At 43.5% G+C, this 23,141-nt stretch overlaps 1 protein-coding gene across 3 annotated transcripts in view, besides 1 other annotated feature; it reads left to right on the top strand.

Annotated features, from left to right (window-relative positions):
- The window catches only part of EMC3 (ER membrane protein complex subunit 3), a 48,437-nt gene extending 32,197 nt beyond the window's left edge, over nt 1-16,240 (top strand). For 2 of the 3 annotated variants that reach the window (NM_018447.4, NM_001394674.1), the window contains 7 exons: nt 1,476-1,533; nt 1,872-1,965; nt 4,434-4,538; nt 5,213-5,294; nt 8,261-8,340; nt 9,121-9,203; nt 14,725-16,240. In NM_018447.4, coding sequence (NP_060917.1) covers nt 1,476-1,533; nt 1,872-1,965; nt 4,434-4,538; nt 5,213-5,294; nt 8,261-8,340; nt 9,121-9,203; nt 14,725-14,853 — 631 coding nt within the window. In that variant the 3' untranslated portion in view covers nt 14,854-16,240. Of the gene's footprint in view, nt 1-1,475; nt 1,534-1,871; nt 1,966-4,433; nt 4,539-5,212; nt 5,295-8,260; nt 8,341-9,120; nt 9,402-14,724 lie in introns of those variants that run through there. The other variant, XM_005265321.4, reaches the window with a different exon arrangement.
- Nucleotides 1,294-2,493: an enhancer, noted in NCBI's record as "MED14-independent group 3 enhancer chr3:10018113-10019312 (GRCh37/hg19 assembly coordinates)". NCBI's record gives its function as "activates an origin of replication core promoter dependent on BRD2, BRD4, P300/CBP and CDK7 cofactors, and independent of MED14, by STARR-seq in HCT116 cells {active_cell/tissue: HCT116}" and the evidence as "EXISTENCE:reporter gene assay evidence [ECO:0000049][PMID:35650434]".
- Nucleotides 16,241-23,141: the final 6,901 nt, after the last annotated feature.

Raw genomic sequence — 23,141 nt, 5'->3', positions numbered from 1 at the left:
CTGACTGTTTAAAACAAGTGGTTTGTATTGAGTAGAGACAGGAAGCCAAGCACAGTTTTTTTGTTTGTTTGTTTGTTTTTTGTTGTTGTTGTTTTTTTGAGATGGAGTCCCACCCCAGGCTGGAGTGCAATGGCGTCGTCTCGGCTCACTGCAACCCCCTACCTTCCTGGTTCAAGTGATTCTCCTACCTCAGCCTCCTGAGTAGCTGGGATTACAGGCACAGGCCACCACACCCGGCTAATTTTTATATTTTTAGTAGAGACAGGGTTTCATCATGTTGGCAAGGCTGGTCTCAAACTCCTGACCTCGTGATCCGCCCACCTCGGCCTCCCAAAGTGCTGGGATTACAGATGTGAGCCACTGCGCCTGGCCCCTACCAAGCACAGGTTTTACTATGTTCATTTCTGTTCATAATTTTTTTTCACGTTTCAAGACTATTTCCATTACTTTAAGGGCCTTTTCCTCTTTTCCTCCTTTAATGAACTTTTGAGTACCTAGAAAAAAATTAATATTTTGATCTCTGTTTTGTCATTTGCATCTTAGCAACACCCATTTGTTGCATAACACTGTATTCTTTTTTTGTTGTTAGAGACAGGGTCTTAACTGTTGCCCAGGCTGGAGAGCAGTGGCGCCATCTCAGCTCATTGCAACCTCTGCCTCTTGGGCTCAGGTGATCCTTCTACTGCAGCCTCCTGAGTAGCTGGGACTACAGGCACGTGCCACCAGCCTGGCTAATTTTTTTTTTTTTTTTTTTTTTTTTTTTTTTTTTTTTTTTTAGAGACAGGGTCTTGCTATGTTGCCCAGGCTAGTCTCAGACTCCTGGGCTTAAGTGATCCACCTGCCTTTGCCTTCCAAATTGCTGGGATTAGAGGCGTGAGCCACTGCACCTGGCCTAGCATGATATTTATTGATCAACTATGGCTCTAATAGTTGATTTAAGATCACCTAGTAATTTCATTTATTTATTCAATAAATGTTTACTGAGAGCTTTCTAACAGTCTGACTTCTGGGTAGATTTTCTATTTGTCCATCAGATAGCAACCCTCTCAAGGCCTGTTCTCATTTCTCTGTAGGTAATAAGAAATTCCTTCTTTTATCCTCACTCTTCTCCCTTTCTCCTGACCCCAGATCTCCTGAGCAGTGTTCAACTATTCTTTTCACTCAGAGAAAGTGTCTTCCTAGCTTATTATCAAATAAGAAAAAGCTGAGTGTAATGTCCCAAATGTACCTAACTCTGAAATATTTATGTGTTCAGAAACACAGTCACTTTTGAAAAATACTTTTCTGAAAACCTAGTAGTTAGGTTAAATAAGTTTACGTTGGTTTTAAAGATACTTGTATTTTGGGAAGTTTCCACACAGAGCTGTTGCCAAATAGGCCCTCTCTTGTGTTTAAATAGGTCTTCTACTTGACTCTCCCATTTTCTTCTAGTGTTTCACTTTTTAAAATCTCATTGTGTTGGTTGTATTTTTCAGTCAAGTCCTAATTCGAAGCAGAGTCCTCAGGGAAAATGGAAAATACATTCCCAAACAGGTACTCATTTATCTTTTATTAAAAAGCTCCACGATTCACTGTTGGGCAGTAGATATCTGAATGTTTTATAAGGGGGCTCTGGGGAAAGCTAAAGGTTGGCAACTTAGTAATTAAGCTGTGGCCTGGTGGTGTTTGCTCTCATGGTGACCTCACCCTTCTTAGGAAATTGTTTTTAAATGTGACTCAGCTAAAGTGTCAGGTCGCCTGCCAAGTAGGCTGACAGCTCTGAGCGGAACAGCATATCCTAAAGGCCTTCTGACTAAGCCACTGGGGAGTAATTTAACAGTTTGCTGTGTCATAGTTCTTAGACTTAAAACACTTTTTTTTTTTTTTACTAGTCTTTCTTGACACGAAAATATTATTTCAACAACCCAGAGGATGGATTTTTCAAAAAAACTAAACGGAAGGTAGTGCCACCTTCTCCTATGACTGGTATGTTTGTTCCCTTCACTCATCTTTAAGGAAGATTTTTAACATGGGTATTTGAGTGGGGTGGGGTAGGCAGGGAGGGTGTCATTTTATTTAAATGTTAAATTGCAAAAGATAGTAATCTTAGACCTTAGAAATCATCTGATACAGGGATCTATGGAAGTGGAATTCTCTTTTTCAGTTAGATTTTCTGAGAACCCCAATGTATAAAGTGGATTAAAAAAAATAGTTCTCAGCTGATGGAGTGGGGAGGCCAGAGCTATTGTCCCTGGGTCTCTCCTTATTGCTGTTCTCAGGACCCAGGATTCTAGGGAGCACAGTTGGTAAAGCATTCCAGCCTGGCTGTCACCCAGTGCCTGGATCCCCTTCCAATAGATGGCTGCCCAGCTTCTGCCTAAATGAGGAAGAGTGCAGTACTTCCAAGATGTGCCATTTTGTTGACTTTGTTGTTAGACGTGATTGTTTGGTCTACCCTACAGTTTTGGCTCTAACATTTTCTACTTCCACTGATACCAGTCATGTGAAAAATATAGCATGTTAAAAGTAAAACAGGCCAGGTGTGGTGGCTCACGCCTATAATCCTTGCATTTTGGGAGGCTGAGTCAGGTGGATTGATTGCCTGAGGTCAGGAGTTCAAACCAGCCTGGTTTACATGATGAAACCCCGTCTCTACTAAAAATACAAAAATTAGCCTAGCGTGGTGGTGGGTGCCTGTAGTCCCAGCTACCCCGGAGGCTGAGGCAGGAAATTGCTTGAACCTGGGAGGTGGAGGTTGCAGTGAGCTGAGGTCACGTCACTGCACTCCAGCCTGGGCGACAGAGCAAGACTCCATCTCCGAAAAATAAAAATAAAAATAACTAAAAGTAAAACAAAGTAATTTGTTGTTCTGTGTTGACTCCTCTCATTTTAGTACTATTCACTTCTTTAGGTGAGATAACCAGCTATTTTAAACCCATACGGAAGGTATTATAATTAATTTTTTTTGAGAGTGACTAAGGTTGTATGGAGTTAATTTTTTAACAAATTTTTAAGAAAATTTACAAGAAACAAAAGACCATTAAATATATGAAAAGTTACTTGACCTCACTAATAATCCATGGAATATCAATTAAAACAAGATATCTTTTTTTTTTTTTTTTTTTTTCTTCAGAAAGGAGTCTCGCTCTCTCACCCAGGCTGGAGTGCAGTGGTGCGATCTCGGCTCACTGCAGGCTCCGCCTCCCGGGTTCACGCGATTCTCCTGCCTCAGCCTCCAGAGTAGCTGAGATTACAGGCACCTGCCACCATGCCCGGCTAATTTTTTGTATTTTTAATAGAGACGGGGTTTCATTGTGTTAGCCAGGATGGTCTCCATCTCCTGACCTCGTGATCCGCCCGCCTTGGCCTCCCAAAGTGCTGGGATTACAGGTGTGAGCCACCGTGCCTGGCCAAGATATCTCTTTTTTTTTTTTTTAGCCCAGTAAGCTGTCAAAAGATTGAAAAGATTGTCAGGATCCACTATTGTCAAGGTCGAGGAAGTTAGGCTCCCTCACCATTGGCGGGAGTGGCAAGAGGTGGGGCCTTGCTGACAGTCTGACAATATCTATCAATTTTAAATGTACAAATCCTTGGACCTAGAAATTCTAAGAAATTCTCTTACGGAAACACATAAACATGCAGATGTATGTGCAAGATAATTGTCGGCAGCATCATTTATCGTTTATTGGCAAAAACAATGGAAACAATCGATAGGTCTACTCAAAAGTGATTGGTGTGACCACACCATGGAATCCTATGCAGACATTAAAAATATTGAGACTGGGTACGGTGGCTGACGCCTGTAATCCCAGCACTTTGGGAGACCGAGGCAGGCAGATCACTTGAGGTCAGTCACGAGTTCAAGACCAGCCTGGCCGACATGGTGAAACCCCGTCTCTACTGAAAATACAAAAATTAGCTGGGCATTGTAGTGTGTGCCTGTAATCCCAGCTACTTAGGAGGCTGAGGCAAGAGAATCACTTGAACCTGGGAGGCGGAGGTTGCAGTGAGCTGAGATCATGCCACTGCACTCCAGCCTGGGCGATAGAGTGAGACTCCATCTCAAAAAAAAAAAAAAAAAAAAACGCTGGGTGCGGTGGCTCCCGCCTGTAATCCCAGCACTTTGGGAGGCCGAAGCAGGCGGATCACGAGTTCAGGAGATCAAGACCATCCTGGCTGACACGGTGAAACCCCGTCTCTACTAAAAATACAAAAAATTAGCCAGGCGTGGTGGCAGGCACCTGTAGTCCCATCTACTCGGGAGGCTGAGGCAGGAGAATGGTGTGAACCTGGGAGGCGGAGCTTGCAGTGAGCTGAGATCGCACCACTGCACTCCAGCCTGGGCGACAGAGCGGGACTCCGTCTCAAAAAAAAACAGTTTACAGAAAATCAGGAGAAAGTCCCTGGCAACAGAGGTAAAACTTAGTGGTTTCTTGTTTGTGCTTTTGTCTTAGATCCTACTATGTTGACAGACATGATGAAAGGGAATGTAACAAATGTCCTCCCTATGATTCTTATTGGTGGATGGATCAACATGACATTCTCAGGCTTTGTCACAAGTAAGTTACAGACCCAGCCGACTTCATGTTACCCAGAGAAATTCAAGTGCTAGTGAGACACTAATATCACAGGTCCTGTGTTTTCTTTTGTAAACTGATAATAGTCCTTGAACAAAAAATTTAATATGTGATGACTTTTACGGCTTTTGCCCAAAAATGATCCTAAGTTCATGACGTGGATGCTTTTTAGCCAGATTAGATTCAAGCAAGTGACTTGCTAGCTTACTTCCAAAACTAATACGGTATTCTCGTTGAGCAGGATAAAGGGAAGCGTATTTCTATTTTGACTTCATTTGCTAGATGTTAGGGTGAGTTTTCTGTTTGTTTGTAAGTTGATTCGCTTTTAATCAATTTGGTTTCTTATTAACATAATTCTATGCTTATATATTCCACTTAGAGTTTGACAGTTTGCTGCAAGTTTTTTCCAAATTTCAGGTCACAGCTCAGTTTGAGTCCCTGCTTCCTCAGTAAGCTAGAGGCAGATATTATTCAGGGAAACTAGAGCAGAGTGGCATTTTGACTGTCTTTTCTTCAGAAATTGCCACAGATTTCCTTGTGGAAGTCGTTTTCCAAAAGCTATGTGGCACAGAGTTCCCACCTCCTCTGAGAAAGAGTCACACTTATTCTAAAAATAAAACAGCTCAGAGTGATTGTGAACTTTTTCTTCTCTGCAGCCAAGGTCCCATTTCCACTGACCCTCCGTTTTAAGCCTATGTTACAGCAAGGAATCGAGCTACTCACATTAGATGCATCCTGGTAAGAACTTTCTTTTGTTTAATAAAAACACAAACCACACTTTGGGAAGCCAAGGCGGGAGGATCACTTGAGCCCATGAGTTTGAGACCAGCCTGGGCAACAGAGTAAGACCCTGTCTCAAGAAAACGAAAACAGGCCGGGCGCAGTGGCTCACGACTGTAATCCCAGCACTTTGGGAGGCCGAGGTGGGCAGATGATGAGATCAGGAGATCGAGACCATTCTGGCTAACACTGTGAAACCCCGTCTGTACTAAAAATACAAAAACTTAGCCAGGCGTGGTGGCGGGCGCCTGTAGTCCCAGCTTCTCGGGAGGCTGAGGCAGGAGAATTGCATGAACCCAGGAGGCGGAGCTTGCAGTGAGCTGAGATTGCGCCACTGCACTCCAGCCTGGGCGACAGAGCGAGACTCTGTCTGAAAACAAACAAACAAACAAACAAAAAACGAAAACAAAAACCTCACAAACCAAAATCTAAAACCAGTGTCCCTTAAAGATGAGGATTTCTGGCTGGGTGCGGTGGCTCACACCTGTAATCCTGCACTTTGGGAGGCCGAGGCGGGCGGATCACCAGGTCAGATTGAGACCATCCTGGCTAACACTGTGAAACCCCATCTCTACTAAAAATACAAAAAGTTAGCTGGGCGTGGTGATGGGTGCCTGTAGTCCCAGCTACTCAGGAGGCTGAGGCAGGAGAATGGCATGAACCCAGGAGGCGGAGCTTGCAGTGAGCTGAGATGGCGCTGCTGCACTCCAGCCTGGGCGACAGAGTGAGACTCCATCTCAAAAAAAAAAAAAAGATGAGGATTTCTAATTTGCAATACTTCATTGGAATCAGTTTTTAAAGTTTTTTGGGTTTTTTTTTTCAAGACGGAGTCTCACTCTGTCACCCAGCTTGGAGTGCAGCGGTGCGATATCACTGCAACCTCCACCTCCTAGGTTCAAGCGATTCTCCTGCCTCAGCCTCCCGAGTACTTGGATTACAGGTGTGCACCACCACATCCGGGTAATTTTTTTATTTTTCATGGAGACAGGGTTTCACCATGTTGGCCAGGCTGGTCTCGAACTACTGACCTCAAGTTATCCACCTGCCTCAGCCTCCCATAGTGCTGGGATTACAGGCATGAGCCACCACGCCTGGCCAGAGTTTTTTTTTTTTTTTTTTTTTTCATTGAAACTCCACTGAAAATGCCATGGGTGGTTTATGGCAACTTTTACATGAGTCTAGCAAAAGGAAAGAATGTGTCACCTCTTTTCTATCACAATTGGGGGCTTAAGAATGCAGGGGTGGATGTATCAACCCCCAGAAAGTTACAAGTTTAAGCCAGGAATTCTGGCCAGGCAATCATTTTTAGTAATACCCTTGAGCTTATGGGAGTGGAAGTTTGTATTTTTTTTTTTCCAAAGTACATTACTACTAATGATAATAGTTTTCATTAGTTCTAGTCACTGGGCTTAGCGTTTTCCATATTTTACCCTCATAGCAACCTATGAAACCTGTGTAGGAATTGACATTTGATGACAAGGTCTGTTCAAATCCAGCACCCATGTGTTACTTACCACTCTTTATAATTTTTTAAAAGAGATTTCTCCTTCTGAATACCACTATTTTTTTTTGAATGGCAGAATAAGAAAAATTAAAATCTGAAAAGCTCTTAGAAAATACTGCTACAATATCTGGAACCTAGTAATGCTGCTTCATGTAGCCTCTCCAGACTCTTGCCTGTGGCTTCCCAAAGACTGGCATAAACAAGAGGAAAAGAAAAATGGACAAAATGGGGATTACTAGTGGTAATCTTGACTACTTGGTTTGAGCAGAGCCCTCTAGGATGTGTGGGAGGAGCAGGAAAGGCCAGAGGCTGGGAAGGCTGGGCCATGCACAGTTCTGCTAGAGAAGAAAAGCTGTACATTATATGAGTAGCATGAGTCTATTCTACTTTTACCTTCAGTCTCATTGGGCTAAACAAAAACTTCATGGGTTGGAGAAAAGCTTATTTATCTTTTCTCAGCATCCAGAGAGGCATGTGACTGAAATGCAGTCATGGACAGACGCGAGACTGGAACCTGAGTGTACAATTACCACTGTGGTGAGATCAGCAACATTGTATTCAGACAGGCCATTTACTTACCTGCAGCCTATGGAGTAACCAGAATAGACTCTTGCCCTTATGTGACCCACTTGTTGGAATGAGTGTGGATCTTTCCATTTATCTATCACTTCCCATATGCATTTTTGTTTTTAGTTTTTATTATATGCAAGCATATTTATTTTATGGAGGTTGAGTAGGAAACCTAAGCTAAAGGAAGCCTCAGTGATATAGTTCAAAACTTGGAATGGCTCTCCCAGTAGCTATAGTCCTCGGTACTGTATTTCCTGAAATCCATGTCTCATCCCTTCTTGTAAGTATGGAACACACCCAGTGGCTCACGCCTGTAATCCCAGCACTTTGGGAGGCTGAGGTGGGCGGATCACTTGAGGTCAGGAGTTCGAGACCAGCTTGGCCAACATGGTGAGACCCCATCTCTAATAAAAATATAAAAATTAGCCAGGCATGGTGGTGTGTGCCTGTAGTCCCAGCTACTCAGGAGGTTGAGGCAGGAGAATCTCTTGAACCCAGGTGGCAGAGGTTGCAGTGAGCCAAGATTGCGCCACTGCACTCCAGCCTGGGTAACAGGGTGAGACTCCGTCTCAAAAAAAAAAAAAGTATGGAACACACCAACACTTGTGATTTCCTCTAGGGAATGGAATTCAGAATGGGAGTCACCTTTGGATTTTTTGAAATATAGTTCTGTATTGGTGAGACTGCTTTAACAACTTGTATTTCTTCTGTGGTTGTGCTTTGGATGAATATAGCCCATCCAAGGTGACTTCTTTACAAACACTGAACAACTTTGGGTGGTAGGGAAGTGGGAACTGCATTACTCTCTGATATAATAACTAACCACACCATTTTCATTTTGCTTTGCCAGGGTGAGTTCTGCATCCTGGTACTTCCTCAATGTATTTGGGCTTCGGAGCATTTACTCTCTGATTCTGGGCCAAGATAATGGTAAGAAGCATGTCAGGTTTACTAAGCAAATACTTCCATAGATGAATCATCCATATTAGAGCCAGAAAAGTCTTGTAGGTTGTGCTGTTTGTTACCATAGTCAAATAAAATGTTTCCTTCCTTAAGTTTCTGAGGTATTCTGAAAGAGTCTTAAAAATTCCGGGGGTCAAACTGAAGATCTCAATTCTCTCTGGCAATGACTGGGACAGTATTTTGATTCCCCAGAGTCTGATACCATCATGTGAGGGATCCAGCACCAGCAGTGTAAGCCTGTGAACCTAAAGCTTAAAGAAGGCTTGGTTTGTCAGTTCATTGACTAGAGCCCTTGCCAGTACTAATCCTTGCTCTCTTGTTTACTGGCTGGGACCTCAGAAAAGTTACTTAACAAGTTACTTAACTTCGAATTCTCTATTTACTTATCTGTAAATAAGGACTTTATTAGTTAACCTGTGGGGTTGTTAGGAACAGATGAGGAAAAATATGCAAAGCACTTAGTGAAGTACTTGGCATGCAGTAGTTGCTCAATAACTGGTGGCTGTTATTGTTGAAATTTGAAATAAAGTTTAGAGCTTCCTTTAGTGATCTCTCTTTTGCTGTTACTGTCCCCATTTTTCAGGAGACACAAAGTGACTTTCCTAGAGTCACATAGCCAGTGGGTGACAGGGCCAGCCAGTGAGGCTGTAGTCCAGTTCTCTAATCTGTGTGAAGCCCATTCTTCCCCTTGGGTGCTGGGGTGCTTGCTGAGTCCTGGCACTCATGTAAGTGTGTCTTATGCTACAGCCGCTGACCAATCACGAATGATGCAGGAGCAGATGACGGGAGCAGCCATGGCCATGCCCGCAGACACAAACAAAGCTTTCAAGGTATACTCCTTCACCTTTCAAAGCTGCAGCAATGCTCTGAAAGGTGTTACCAAGAGCTATTTTAAAAATAGCTTCCTTGAAGGGAGTGTTGTGTGGTTCCATCGTTTTAATTTAAACTTAGTAAAAACATAGTTTACACGTCTCTCTTTCCTGAGACAGAATCATCTATTAAGTAAATGGAAATTCTTGGTGCTTTTACTGGTTTTTAAATGCTCACTGGAATTTAATCCACACTATCAATGATGCTGTAAAATAATCCAATCGGAGGTGCCAGGTAAACATTTAGAATAATTTGAACCTTTTTGAACCCCATAGACATCAGATATAAATTGCATTAAAAAAACAATACTAAGAGCCTTTTCACAAAAAGGTTCTAGAATTTGCAAAATTTAGTATGATTTTTGTGGGACAAAATCTCACTGTGTTTCATGATAGAAACTAAAAGAGAAGGGAAGTTCCGGCCAGGCACAGGGGCTCACACGTGTAATCCCAGCACTTTGGGAGGCCAAGGTGGGCAGATCACCTGAGTTCAGGAGTTCGACACCAGCCTGGACAACATGGTGAAACCCTGTCTCTATTAAAAATACAAAAATGGGCCAGGTGCGGTGGCTCACGCCTGTAATCCCAGCACTTTGGGAGGCCAAGGCAGGTGGGTCAGCTGAGGTCAGGAGTTCAAGACCAGCCTGGCCAACATGGTGAAACCTCTTTTCTACTAAAGATACAAAAAAAAAATTTGCTGGGCATGGTGGTGGGCACCTGTAATCCCAGTTACTTGGGAGGCTGAGACAGAATTGCTTGAACTCAGGAGGTGGAGTTTGCAGTGAGCTGAGATTGATTGCACCATTGCACTCCAGCCTGGGCAACAAGAGCAAAACTCTGTCTCAAAAAAAAAAAAAAAATACAAAAATGAGCTGGGCACGGTGGCATGTGCCTATAATCCCAGCCACCCAGGAGGCTGAGGCAGGAGAATCACTGGAACCTGGGAGGCGGAGGCTGTAGTGAGCCAAGATCGTGCCACTGCACTCCAGCCTGGATGACAGACCAAGATTCCGTCTCAAAAAAAAAAAGAGAGAAATTTCTCAGCCTGATAAAGGACATCTATGACAGACCCACAGCTAACATCATACTCAATGGTGAAAGACTGAAAGCTTTCCCTTTAAGATTAAGAACAAGACAAGGATGTCTGTTCTTGCCACTTCTATTCATCATTGTCCAGGATGTACTAGCCAGGGCAGTTAGGCAAGAAAAAGAAATAAAAAAGCCATTCAGATTAGAAAGGAAGTAAAACTATCTCTGTTTGCAAATGGCATGGTGTTGTATGTAGATCATCCTAAAGAATCCACAAGAAAACTAACAGAGCTAATAAATAAGTTCAACATCAATTGTATTTCTATACACTGGTAATGAAGAATTGGAAATGAAAGGAAAACAATTTTATTTATAATAGTATCAAAACGAATAAAATATTTAGGAACAAATCTAACAAAAGAAATGGCCGTGGCCGGGCATGGTGGTTAACGCCTGTAATCCTAGCACTTTGGGAGGCTGAGGTGGGCAGATCACAACGTCAAGAGATCAAGACCATCCTGGCCAACGTGGCGAAACGCCATCTCTACTAAAAATACAAAAATTAGCTGTGCATGGTGGTGCCTGCCTGTAGTCCCAGCTACTCGGGAGGCTGAGGCAGGAGAATCACTTGAACCCGGGAGGCAGAGGTTGCAGTGAGTCAAGATCACGCCACTAGACTCCAGCCTGGTGACAGAGCGAGACTTCGTCTCAAAAAAAAAGAAATGGCCTTTTGTTAGATTTAAACCGACATACTGAAAAATTACAAAACATTGCTGAAAGAAATTAAAGACTTAAATAAATGGAAAGACATCCATGTTCATAGATTGGAAGACTTAATATTGTTAAGATGGCAATACTCCAAATTTATCCACAGATTGAACACAATCCCTATAAAAATCTTACTTGCCATTCTTGCAGAAATTGACAAGCTGCTTGTGAAGTTCATGTGGAAATTCAAGGGAATCACAATAGGCAAAAATGTTGGCAAAATTGAATAACTTACACGCCGTGGTTTTAAAGCCTATTACAAAGCTGTAGTAATCAAAACTGCACAGTAATAAAAACTGGCATAAGGAGAGATATAGGTCAATGGAATAAAATGGAGAGTTCAGAAATAAACACATCTATTTATCATCAATTGATTTTCAAAGAGGGTACCAAGACTATTCAGTGGGGAAAGAATAGTCTCCATTCAACGAATGGTGCTGGGAAAAGGATATCTACATGCAAAAGAATGAGGCTGGGCACCTATTTCACACCATGCACAAAAGTTAAGTCCAAATGGTTCAACAGGCATGTTAGTGCAGAAGAAAAAAAAAAATTAGGTTCAAATTAGCCAAATGTGGTGGTGCATGCCTATAGATGGGAGGACCACTTGAGCTGAGGAGTTTGAGGCTGCAATGAGCTGTGATTGTGCCACTGCACACCAGCTTGGGTGACAGAGCGAGACCCTGTCTTGAAAAAAGAAATCAAATGGGTCAAAGTCCCAAATCTTTAATATTGCATGATATTACTCATATAAAATATTTGGAATAGGAAAATTCACAGAGACAAGAAAGTAGGTTAGAGTTTACTGAGGATGGGATGGGGGGCAGTGGGGAGTAATTGCTTACTGTGCACATTTTCTGTTTAAGGGGACATAAAACTTTGGAAATGATAGTAGACATGGGTACACATTGTGAATGTCATTAATGCCACTGAATTTTACATCTGAAATGGTTAAAAGTGGTGTATGTTATGTTACATATATTTTACCACAATAAAAAAATAAAAATTTGGCTGGGCGCAGTGGCTTACACCTTAATCCCAGCACTTTGGGAGGCTGAGACAGGCAGATCATTTGAGGTCAGGAGCTTGAGACCAGCCTGGCCAACATGGTGAAATGCCATCTCCACTAAAAATACAAAAATTAGCTGGGCATAGTGGTGCCTGCCTGTAATCCCAGCTACTCAGGAGGCTGAGGCATGAGAATTGCTTGAACCTGGGAGGCAGAGGTTGCAGTGAGCCGAGATCCACCATTGCAGATGCAGAGGTTGCAGTGAGCCAAGATGGCGCCACTGCACTCCACCCTGGGTGACAGAGTGAGATCACTCTGTCTCAAAAAAATAAACAACTAAAAAACAGTGAGAGGGCTGGGCATGGTGGCTCACGCCTGTAATCCCAGCACTTTGGGAGGCTGAGGTGGGTGGATCACAAGGTCAGAAGTTCAAGATCAGCTTGGTCAACATGGTGAAACCCCATCTCTACTAAAAATACAAAAATTAGCCGGGCGTGGTGGCGGGCGCCTGTAGTCCCAGCTGCTCAGGAGGCTGAGGCAGGAGAATTGCCTAAACCTGGGAGGCGGAGGTTGCAGTGAGCGGAGATTGCGCCACTGCACTCCAGCCTGGGTGCCAGAGCGAGACTCCATCTCAAAAAAAAAAAAAAACAGATACCACTTCATGCCCACTCAGATGGTTATAATTAATAAAAAAAAAGATCAACAATAACAAGTGTCGGTAAGGATGTGGAGAAATTGGAACCCTATTGTTGATGATGGTACAGCCACTTTGGAAAACAGTTTTTCTGCCTTTCCTCAAACAGTTAAAACATAGTTACTATATGATCCAGTAATTTCACTCTTAAGTAAATACTCAAGAGAACTGAAAATGTATGTCCACACAGAAACTTATGTGAGAATGTGTTCAGAGCATGATTCATAATAATCAAAAAGTAGACATAACCCAAATGTCCATCATCTAATGAATGAATAAACAATGGAATATTTTGGAATATAATGTACATTGTATGTACAGTAGAATATATACAATGGAGTGTTATTCAGCTATAAATAAGAGTGGAATACTGAATCATGTTAAACAGGGAAGAACCTTGAAAACATGCTAAGTGAAAGAAAATAACAAAAGGCCACATATGCCCAGAATAAGTGAAAAAAAGATACGGAAGATAACGTAGTAGTTGCCAGAGGTTGTGGGAGGTGAATAATGGGAGCTGTCTACTGTTTGGTATGTGGTTTCTTTTTGTTATGATAAAAGTGTTCTGCAATTAGATAGTGGTGGTGGTTGCACATATGAATATACTAAAAATCACTAAATTATACACATTAAAGGGGTAAATTGTATGACATGTAAATTATATCTGAAAAACTCACTCATGAGCTAACATTTGTATTTCACATTAAATAAGCTTGTTCTATCTATCTATCTATCTATCTATCTATCTATCTATCTATCTATCGAGGGTCTCACTGTGTCACCCAGGCTGGAGTGCAGTGGTACAATCCTTGCTCACTGCAGCCTCGAACTCCTGGACTTAAGCATTCCTCCCACCTCAGCCTCAGTACTGGTACACGAGAAGCCAGTACTACAGGCACACACCACCACACCCAACTAATTTTTTTTTAAATTTGTATAGAGATGGGATCTCGCTGTGTTGCCCAGGCTGGTCTTGAACTCCCATCCTCAAGTGATCCTCCTGCCTTGGCCTCCCAAAGTGCTAGGATTACAGGTGTGAGCTACCACATCTCGCAAGCTTTTTTTTTTTTTTTTTAATTTATTTTTAAAGACGAGGTATTACTATCTCTAGGCTCATCTAAAGATAGGTTGTCCAGGGCAGTCCCAAACTCCTGGGCTCAAGCTATCCTTAGCCTCAGCCTCCAGAGTAGCTGGGACTGTAGATGCATGCCACTGCACCCAACTCATAAAGCATTTTTTAGACACTCACTAATTTAAGGCAAAGTAGTCAGATTAATAGAATATTTGAGAAATGTAATTTCTTGGAAAATTCTGCAAATTTATTTCTGCTCAACATATTACTAGTTTACATCTAAATGATTATATGCCAAAAACAGTTTTTTAGTTCACATCATCAAAGTCTTTATTCCAGTGATTAAAAATTACTGGACTCCCACAAACTGTAATGAAGTGCCATTGTGTGTCTGGACATAAGGTTGGAGGAAGTGTTCTTAGGCCCACTGAAGATACCCTGGGCCATTTATGTCAAAGCATTGTGGACCATGCACCATTTAAACCAGATGGCAAGTCCCTTGATTAAAGAGCTGAGAATCTGCACTAATTTGTCTGTTGTACATCTCTCAAGAGTACTGTGGGGCACAAAGGTGCTTAGTGAGTGTGAGCTGATAGACGGGTTAAGCGCTGGGGACTTTGCAGTCAGACCACAATTTAAATCTCAGCTCCATTAGTTCCTAGTGCCAGTGGCCTTGAACAAATTATTTGACCTCTTAGTCTTAGTCTCCTTATCTATAAATTGAGGGGTGGCAGGAAGAGGGGGAGGAGAGGATTGGGGTAGCAGCATTTCCCTTGTAGGATTGAATGAGCTTATACATGCAGATAGCTCACTCCAGCTTTTGGCCCAGAGTAAGTGGTCACTAAAGGTTAGCCACAGCTGTCAGTAACAATTCCCTCTCTTCCTGCCTGGGTGTTCTCTTCCATTACAGACAGAGTGGGAAGCTTTGGAGCTGACGGATCACCAGTGGGCACTAGATGATGTCGAAGAAGAGCTCATGGCCAAAGACCTCCACTTCGAAGGCATGTTCAAAAAGGAATTACAGACCTCTATTTTTTGAAGACCGAGCAGGGATTAGCTGTGTCAGGAACTTGGAGTTGCACTTAACCTTGTAACTTTGTTTGGAGCTGGCACCTCTTGAAATAAAAAGGAGGATGCACGAGCTGGCAGGCATGCAGCAAGGCTTGTTCTTGTCTGGGCTGGGTTCCCCTTTATGTTTGAAACTAGAGGAAATAGGAGTATGCTGGGCAACTTGTTATTTTTAAAATGTTGTAAATGTTCCTTCTGGTGACTCTAGTAATGAAAGTCAGAGAAAGGGGGAAACCTCAGGCTACTGATAATATATAAAATCTTGGCCAGGCGCAGTGGCTCACGCCTGTAATCCCAGGATTTTGGGAGGCTGAGGCGGGTGGGTCACGAGATCAGGAGTTCAAGATCAGCCTGGCCAAGATGGTGAAACCCCATCTCTACTAAAAATACAAAAAAAAATTAGCCGGGCGTGGTGGTGGGCACCTGTAATCCCAGCTACTTGGGAGGCTGAGGCAGAGAACTGCTTAAACCTAGGAGGCGGAGGATGCAGTGAGCTGACATCGTGCCACTGCGCTCCAGCCTGGGCGACAGAGCAAAACTCCATCTGAAAAAAAAAAAAAAATATATATATATATATATATATATCTATCTTAGCAGAAGCCCAGTCTTCGAAGGAAGCATTGTTAATTATAGCTAATGATTATGTGCAGTCAGCCTGACATCTAGCCACAGTAAACTCCTGTTTTCTTGGGATCCAAACACCCTGTGTTTTACCATTAGTTTTGTTAGTATTGTTAACTTTCTTTACACAAGTAAACCATTTCCACTACCAAAGGTTTAGAAACTATGGATGAACAAAATGAATCTCCCTGTTCATTTTGAGCCTACATAGACATAGAGACCAAATATGTCAAAACCTTATTCAAATAAACTCTCTTCAGAGTGAATACCCAGGGTCAGGACAGACTCAGCAAACCTTCTATATCACTTAATTCTGCCCAGTGAAAATCAGTGACCCTGAGGCACTGCCAGATTCTAAAGTGCCTTTGGGATCATCAGAGACTGTCTATAAATAATGCAAAATCTTGATCTGGATGTCAGTGTATCAAATCTTATCAAATCCATTGACAAATCAGTGGTGCTATACTGGAAATGGCTACTCCTTTGGATGAAGGACCTCATTTCCCAGTTGCTTGGAACAAAAGAGAATTTACATATTGCTGTAAGAAGGGAGAGACGGCAGTTGTTGGTAGACACACAGATAAGGGTGCCCAAGAATAATTCTGTCTGGATTAAAGGTCCCAGGGAAGTGACGGTGCCATTTCTGTACCAAGAGGTGAATATAATTTGCATGTTGAGTGCAGTAATTAAGAACAAACGACTCGACTCCACAAATTAAACCGTCCTGTTTTCTCTTCTTTGCCTGTGAAAGTGTTGCCTCTGTAAGTCACTAACAACCTTCTGCCAGCAGTTGACTGTCTATCTTGGATCAGTGCGGGGAGTCTAAGACGAAAGAGATGTGAACCTTGCCCTCAACTCACAAGAGAGAGACACCTAAGAGCTTTTTAAAATTTTTTATTATTTTTTTAGAGACGATACCTTGCTATGTTGCCCAGACTGGTCTTGAACTTGTGAGCTCAAGCCATCCTCCTGCCTCACCCTCCCAAAGTGCTGGGATTACAGGCATGAGCCACTGTGCCTGGCCAAAAGAGACCTTTTTTTGAGGTCACCGAATCTGAGAATCTGGAATCTCTGACCCTGGCCTCCAGAGTAACATATGTGGACATAGATACAGACATGTCCCTCTAAAACTTATTCATAATGACCCGCAGACCCAAGTTAAGAAACCCTGACCTTTAACGATAGTTAAAATGGCTGCTTATACCAGATAGAAAAGGAACAAGTGTTCACAGGAGAGCTAACCTTTGACCTGGGTCTTGAAAGACTTCCTCTGTGTAGAAGGGCATTCCAAGCAGAGAAAACAGAATCAGCAAAAGCCCATGGATTAAACTGTCTGCAATTCATTGCACCCCAAGGAAGTGGGGAGTGGTCCAGTATGCCCTGGAAAGGTCCAGGTTGGGTAGCATGCAAATGGTAATTGGTGATTGAGTGGTAGCCGCCTCGTTCCTCTGCATCGGGAGCATTTGAGTCTGCCTCTTCACCCACACAAGGTTTGGCCTTTTTCCCTTGTAGCAAAGATGGGTGGTTAAAATGTGTGTGACCAGCCTGGCCAACATGGTGAGACCCCGTCTCTACTAAATATACAAAAATTAGCCAGGCATGGTGGTGTGCACCTGTAATCCCAGTTACTCGGGAGGCTGAGGCAGGAGAACCACTTGAACCTGGGAGGCAGAGGTTGCAGTGAGCCGAGATCGTGCCACTGCACTCCAGCCTGGGCAACAAGAGTGAAACTCCATCTCAAAGAATAAAAAAATGTGTGTGAGACTTTCCTGTCCCATTGTACTGGTAGTAAATGCACAGACCTGTCCTTGGCATCAGCGAGTCAAAAAGAAAAGCCAAGGTTGTTTTAGTAGGCTCTTTCCAGAACAGCGCACAGGCTTAGGGAGCAGTGCTTATTGTGTGTGTTTCTTGGAGTTCAATTTGGGCCAGGCTATAAATGAGAATTGCATCTCTTCCATCCACCTTGACTTATCACCTGATACTACTTAGGACACCGCAAATGTCTACTTGCTGATCATGGAATAGAACAGGGGTGTCCAATCCTTTGGCCTCCCTGGGCCACACTGGAATAAGAATTGTCTTGGGCCACACATAAAATACACTAACACTGACGATAGCTGATAAGCTACAAAACAAACAAAAAACAATGTTTTAAGAAAGTTTATGAATTTGTGTTGGGCCCCATACCAAGCTGTCCTGGGCGGCATGCAGCCTACAGGCCAGACAAGCTTGGTATAGAAAGTACCGTACAAGGAAAGCTAAATATTGACAGTCAACTGCACAACACAACTCAGAAAAATACAATTTAGATTTGAGGTGAGTAGGTAAACCCGTGCTTAGGGACAAAAGTCAGCTCGATTCCTCTGTTTGGTCTGTAAGGTGTGTGATGGGTATGTGTGTATGTGAAAGAGGGTTACTAACTGGATTAGGAATATTGCAGTTGCAGGTGACAAGCTGAACTCAAGCAATTAAAAAGGAATGGAAATTGACTCAATAACTAAAATGTCTGGTGGTTGGCTTCAGGCACAGCTGGGTCCAGGGCCTCTCATGATATCATCAGGACTCAGTTGCTTTCTCAAGTCTGCTTCTTAGACAGTTAGTTTTCTTATAGAGGCACGAGATTAGTAATCCTAGTGAAAAGAAAGCACCCCTTTTTAAAAAATCTAGGAAAAGTTAGGGTTGCATCTTAACTCATCTGCCTTAAGTCAACTGCAAATTCCAGGAACTGCTTAGCTTCTCATAAACTATAAGAACTGAAGGTATAATAAGAGTGATTCCCCAAAGGAAAACTGGGATGCTGTTGCCTGAAGAAGTGGCATGGGTACCAGACAAAAAATATCTTATCTTACCTTTAATCATCCAAACCATCTGGAATGTTCCCAACAGGAGGTGCTGTCCCTGTCCTTGGAAGTAATTGCGGTCTGCAAACATTTGCAGGATTTCTACAGTGTGCTCAGGGCCATGCTAGATATTTTCAGATCTTTCTGTTCATTCAACCAATAGTGAATTGAGTGTTGCCAGGCACTGCATATGAACAAGACACAGTCACAGACCTTAAAAACTCAGACTGCTAGACCAACCTGGCTAACACGGTGAAACCCTCTCTCCACTAAAAAATACAAAAAAATTAGCCGGGCATGGTGGCGGGTGCCTGTAGGCCCAGCTACTTTGGAGGCTGAGGCAGGAGAATGGCGTGAACCCAGGAGGTGGAGCTTGCAGTGAGCCGAGATTGCGCCACTGCACTCCAGCCCGGGCGATAGAGTGAGACTCCATCTCAAAAAAAAAACAAAAACCAAAAAACCTCAGACTACTATAGTACATGCTGTGACAGGGACGATCCTAGGGAGGCCATGGGAACATCCTGCAGGTCATCCAGTCAACCCGAATGCTCAGGGAAGGCTTCCCAGCAGAAACATCTCAACTAAGATGTGAAAGATCATGAGGAACTTGCCAGAAAAAAATATACAGACTGTTCTAAACAGAGGTAACGGTGTGCACAAAGTCTCAGAAGCAAAGATGTTGGTGTTTTCATGGAACTGAAACAAGACCTGCATGACCCTGCAGTGTAGAGTATGAAAGGACTGATAAACATTTGGATTGTACACTTAAAACGGGTGAATGGGGTGGGGTGCGAATTATAGCTCACTAAAACTGCTTCAGAAGACAAGATGAGGAGGCAGCACTAGGGCCAGATGGCAGAGGAGCTTATAAGTCATCCCTCAGAGGCGGAACTTCATCCTGATGATGGCAGCAGGAAGCCTTTGTAGGGACTGGTGTGAAGGGATTTGCTGCTGGGCAAGGAATGGAATGGAGGGGCAGAAGTGGGTATGGAGAGCACTGGAGTGAGAGTGAGATGGTAATGCGGTCAGAGGAGAAGGCGCAGCATTGAAGTCATGTCCATGATTAGCTCCTGCTTTCTCACACTCACTGTGTTGCTTTGCAGAAGACAGTTTCCCTCTTTGGGCCTCAGTCTCCCCACCAGTCACAAGGCTACTTTGGAAAAGTCTGGCAGGTCCTCAAAAGTTTTAATGTAAAATTTCCATATGACTCAGCAGTTCCACTCCTAAATAGATATATACCCAAGAGAAGTGAAAACATACTGGCCGGGCATAATGGCTCATGCCGGTAATCCCAGCACTTTGGGAGGCCGAGGCAGGCGGATCACGAGGTCAGGAGTTCGAGACCAGCCTGACCAACATGGTGAAACCCCGTCTCTACTAAAAATACAAAAATTAGCTGGGCGTGATGGCGCGCCACTGTAATCCCAGCTACTCGGGAGGCTGAGGCAGGAGAATCGCTTGAACCTGGGAGGTGGAGGTTGCAGTGAGCCAGGATCATGCCATTGCACTCCAGTCTAGGCAACAGGGTGAGACTCCATCTCAAAAAAAAAAGAAAAGAAAACATATGTCCAGATCAGGTGCGTTGGCTCATGCCTGTAATTCCAGCACTTTAGGAGACCAAGGCAGGTGGATCGAGCCTCCTGTAGTCCCAGCTACTCAGGAGGCTGAGGCAGGAGAATTGCTTGAACATGAGAGCCAGAGGTTGCAGTGAGCTGAGATCGCACTACTGCACTCCAGCCTGGGCTACCGACTGGGCCACAAAGCGAGACTCTGTCTCAAAAAAAAAAAAAAAAAAAGAAAGAAGAAAAAGAAAACATGTCTACACAATTATGTATACATGAATATTCATAGTAGCCACAAGGTGGGAAACAACCCAAATGTCTATCAGCTAACAGATGGATAAATGAAATATGGTATAGCCATACAATGGCGTATTATTCAGCAGTAAAAAGAATAAAGTACTGACCAGGTGCAGTGGCTCACGCCCGTAATCCTTGCACTTTAGGAGGCTGAGGTGGGAGGATTGCTTGAGGCCAGGAGTTCAAGACTGGCCCGGCAACATAGCAAGACCCTGTCTCTACAAAAAATAAAGTTATCTGGGCATGGTGGCGTATGCCTGTAGTCCCAGCTACTCAGGAGCCTGAGGCAGGTGGGTGGTTGCTTGAGCCCAGAAGTTGAAGATTACAGTGAGCCATGACTGTGCCACTGCACTCCAGCCTGGGCAACAGATTGAGACCCTGTCTCTAAAACAGTAAAATAGGTTAGGCACAATGTCTCATGCCTGCATTCCAAGTACTTTGGGAGGGTGAGGCGGGAGGATCACTTGAGCCTGGGAGTTGGAGACCAGTTTAGGCAACATAGTGAGGCCTCACAAGAAAATGAAAAAAAAAATCAGCCAGGCATGGTGGCACATGCCTGTAGTCCCAGCTACCGAGGAGGATGAGGTGGAAGGATTGCTTGAGCCCAGGAGGTCAAGGCTGCAGTGAGCCATCATTGCACCACTGCACTCCAGCCTGGAAGACAGAGCGAGACCCTGTCTCAAAACGATAAATAAATAATAATAAAGTAATTATCACTATTTTACCAGAATTTTTTTTTTTTTTTGAGACAGAATCTTGCTCTGTCACCCAGGCTGGCGTGCAGTGGCACGATCTTGGCTCACTGCAACCTCTGCCTCCCGGGTTCAAGCGATTCTCGTGCCTCAGCCTCCCGAGTAGCTGGGATTATAGGCGTGCACCACTGCATCTGGCTAATTTTTGGATTTTTAGTAGAGACGGGGTTTCACCATGTTGGCCAGGCTGGTCTCGAACTCCTGACCTCAGGTGATTCACCTGACTTGGCCTCCCAAAGTGCTGGGACTACAGGCGTGAGCCACTGCCCCTGGCCCAGAATTTTTTAATGTATCTCCCAAAATCACTTTTTTGTGGGAGGGGAGGGAGCAGGGAAGTTGGATATTTTCAAAGTAAATCACAAGTATGTCATTTCACACATAAGTCGTAGGTATCATAACAGATATGGAATTTTTTACACATAACCCACAAGGCCATTATTTCACCCGATGCAAACATGCTTATACCTTAATATGTCCTAAGACTCAATCTGTGTTCATATTTCCCTAATTGTCTTAAAATGTCTTTTCCACAGTGGATTTATTTGACTGAGGCTCCCAACGAGGCCCCCACGTGGCATTTGGTTGCTATATCTCTTAAATCTCTTATGTAACAGTTTTCCCTCCCTCCCTTTTTTTTCAAGACATTCATCTGTCGAAGAAACCATGTTGTTTGTTGTCTCTGTAGAATTCTGTGAATCTCTGAAAATGTTATCTGAATGGGAAATTAAATCTTTCAATTGTTTTTCACTTTAAGGAAAGATTAAGGGGAATGAATTAGTGATAGATGCATGGAAAATTAAGCAAATGAAAAACCAAGCAGTACTTACTGCAGGAGAAACAATGTCTGGAGAGGGAATTATTATCCTCACAGCACACTTCTTGAATCAGCTTGAATACTTGTTTCACAGTTCTAGTATTGTAAATGCAGAATAATGATACCAAAAAACTACAGAAAAATATGGAAAGTAATAGAAGAACTACATTTTCATATTATCTTCATAGTAGTCAATAGATTAACCCCCAAAACTGAAAATAATTAACATTAGCCGCATAAATCTGATGTGAAAATAGGATAAATACCAGAAGAAATAACCAGAAGTACCAGAAAGACTTGACAATAATTACTTCCAGAAAGTGGGAATTGAGAGTGAAAGGGAATGGGGTAAGGATCTGCTGATTTTAAAGTGGCATCAGATTTCACACACAAAAAAAATAAATAACTCTTGGCCAGGTGTGGTGGCTCACGCCTGTAATCCCAGCACTTTGGGAGGCCAAGGCAGGCAGATCACTTGAGGTCAGGAGTTTGAGACCGGCCTGGCCAACATGGTGAAACCCCATCTCTGCCAAAAATACAAAAATCAGCCAGGCCTGGTGGTGCATTCCTGTAGTCCCAGCTACTCGGGTGGCTGAGGCAGGAAAACGGCTTGAACTCAGGAGGCGGAGGTTACAGTGAGCTGAGATTGTGCCACTGCCCTCCAGCCTGGGTGAAAGTGAGAGACTCTGTCTCAAAAAACAAACAAAAAACCTCTTTAAAAAGATCAGGTTTGTTTAGTTGGTGTTGGTGGAAGCTAAAATCTGAGAATGAGTAGGCTAAGACTCCAGGAGCCCTTCAGGCTGAATTTGGCCAGTTTGGTAAAAGAGTATAACTCCCCGTGCCCTCAGAGTTCAGGACAGTGGGCAGAGCACAGAGAAGGTTCACCAGCCTGCACTTTCTCCCACCTGTTCTCCCTTTTGTTTATTTTCTCATGCCTGCCAGAGCAACCAGCCAGAATGAAAATGCCAACCAACTGTCCTGGGCTTTGTCTAAGCAGGAGATTTCATCATTGCCAGCCCCATCTTCTTTGCCTTTTCTTTCTCACTCTTTCCTTGGGGAGTCACAACAACTTTCAGCTCTGTTGGTTTGAAGTCAACAGAGATCCAAACTGGAGGGCCTATTTTCATGGACTCAATTAACTCCTAACACAGTAGGGGCCGCCTGGAAGGCCTGGGGTTTCCCTCTCCCCCACTTTCCTCTCTCAGGTTCTTCCAGAGGGGCAGGAGGGTGTCATTACTATTAAGAGCACTGGTTCTGGCCAGGCGTGGTGACTCATGCCTGTAATCCTAGCACTTTGGGAGGGCGAGGCAGGCTGATCACTTGAGGCCAAGAGTTTGAGACCAGCCTGGCCAACATGGCGAAACCCTGCCTCT

Source organism: Homo sapiens, chromosome 3 (assembly GCF_000001405.40).
Source record: "Homo sapiens chromosome 3, GRCh38.p14 Primary Assembly".
NCBI classification, from domain to species: domain Eukaryota; kingdom Metazoa; phylum Chordata; class Mammalia; order Primates; family Hominidae; genus Homo; species Homo sapiens.
The sequence above is the reverse complement of the archived record's forward strand: the minus strand, read 5'-3'. Positions and strand labels throughout refer to the sequence as shown.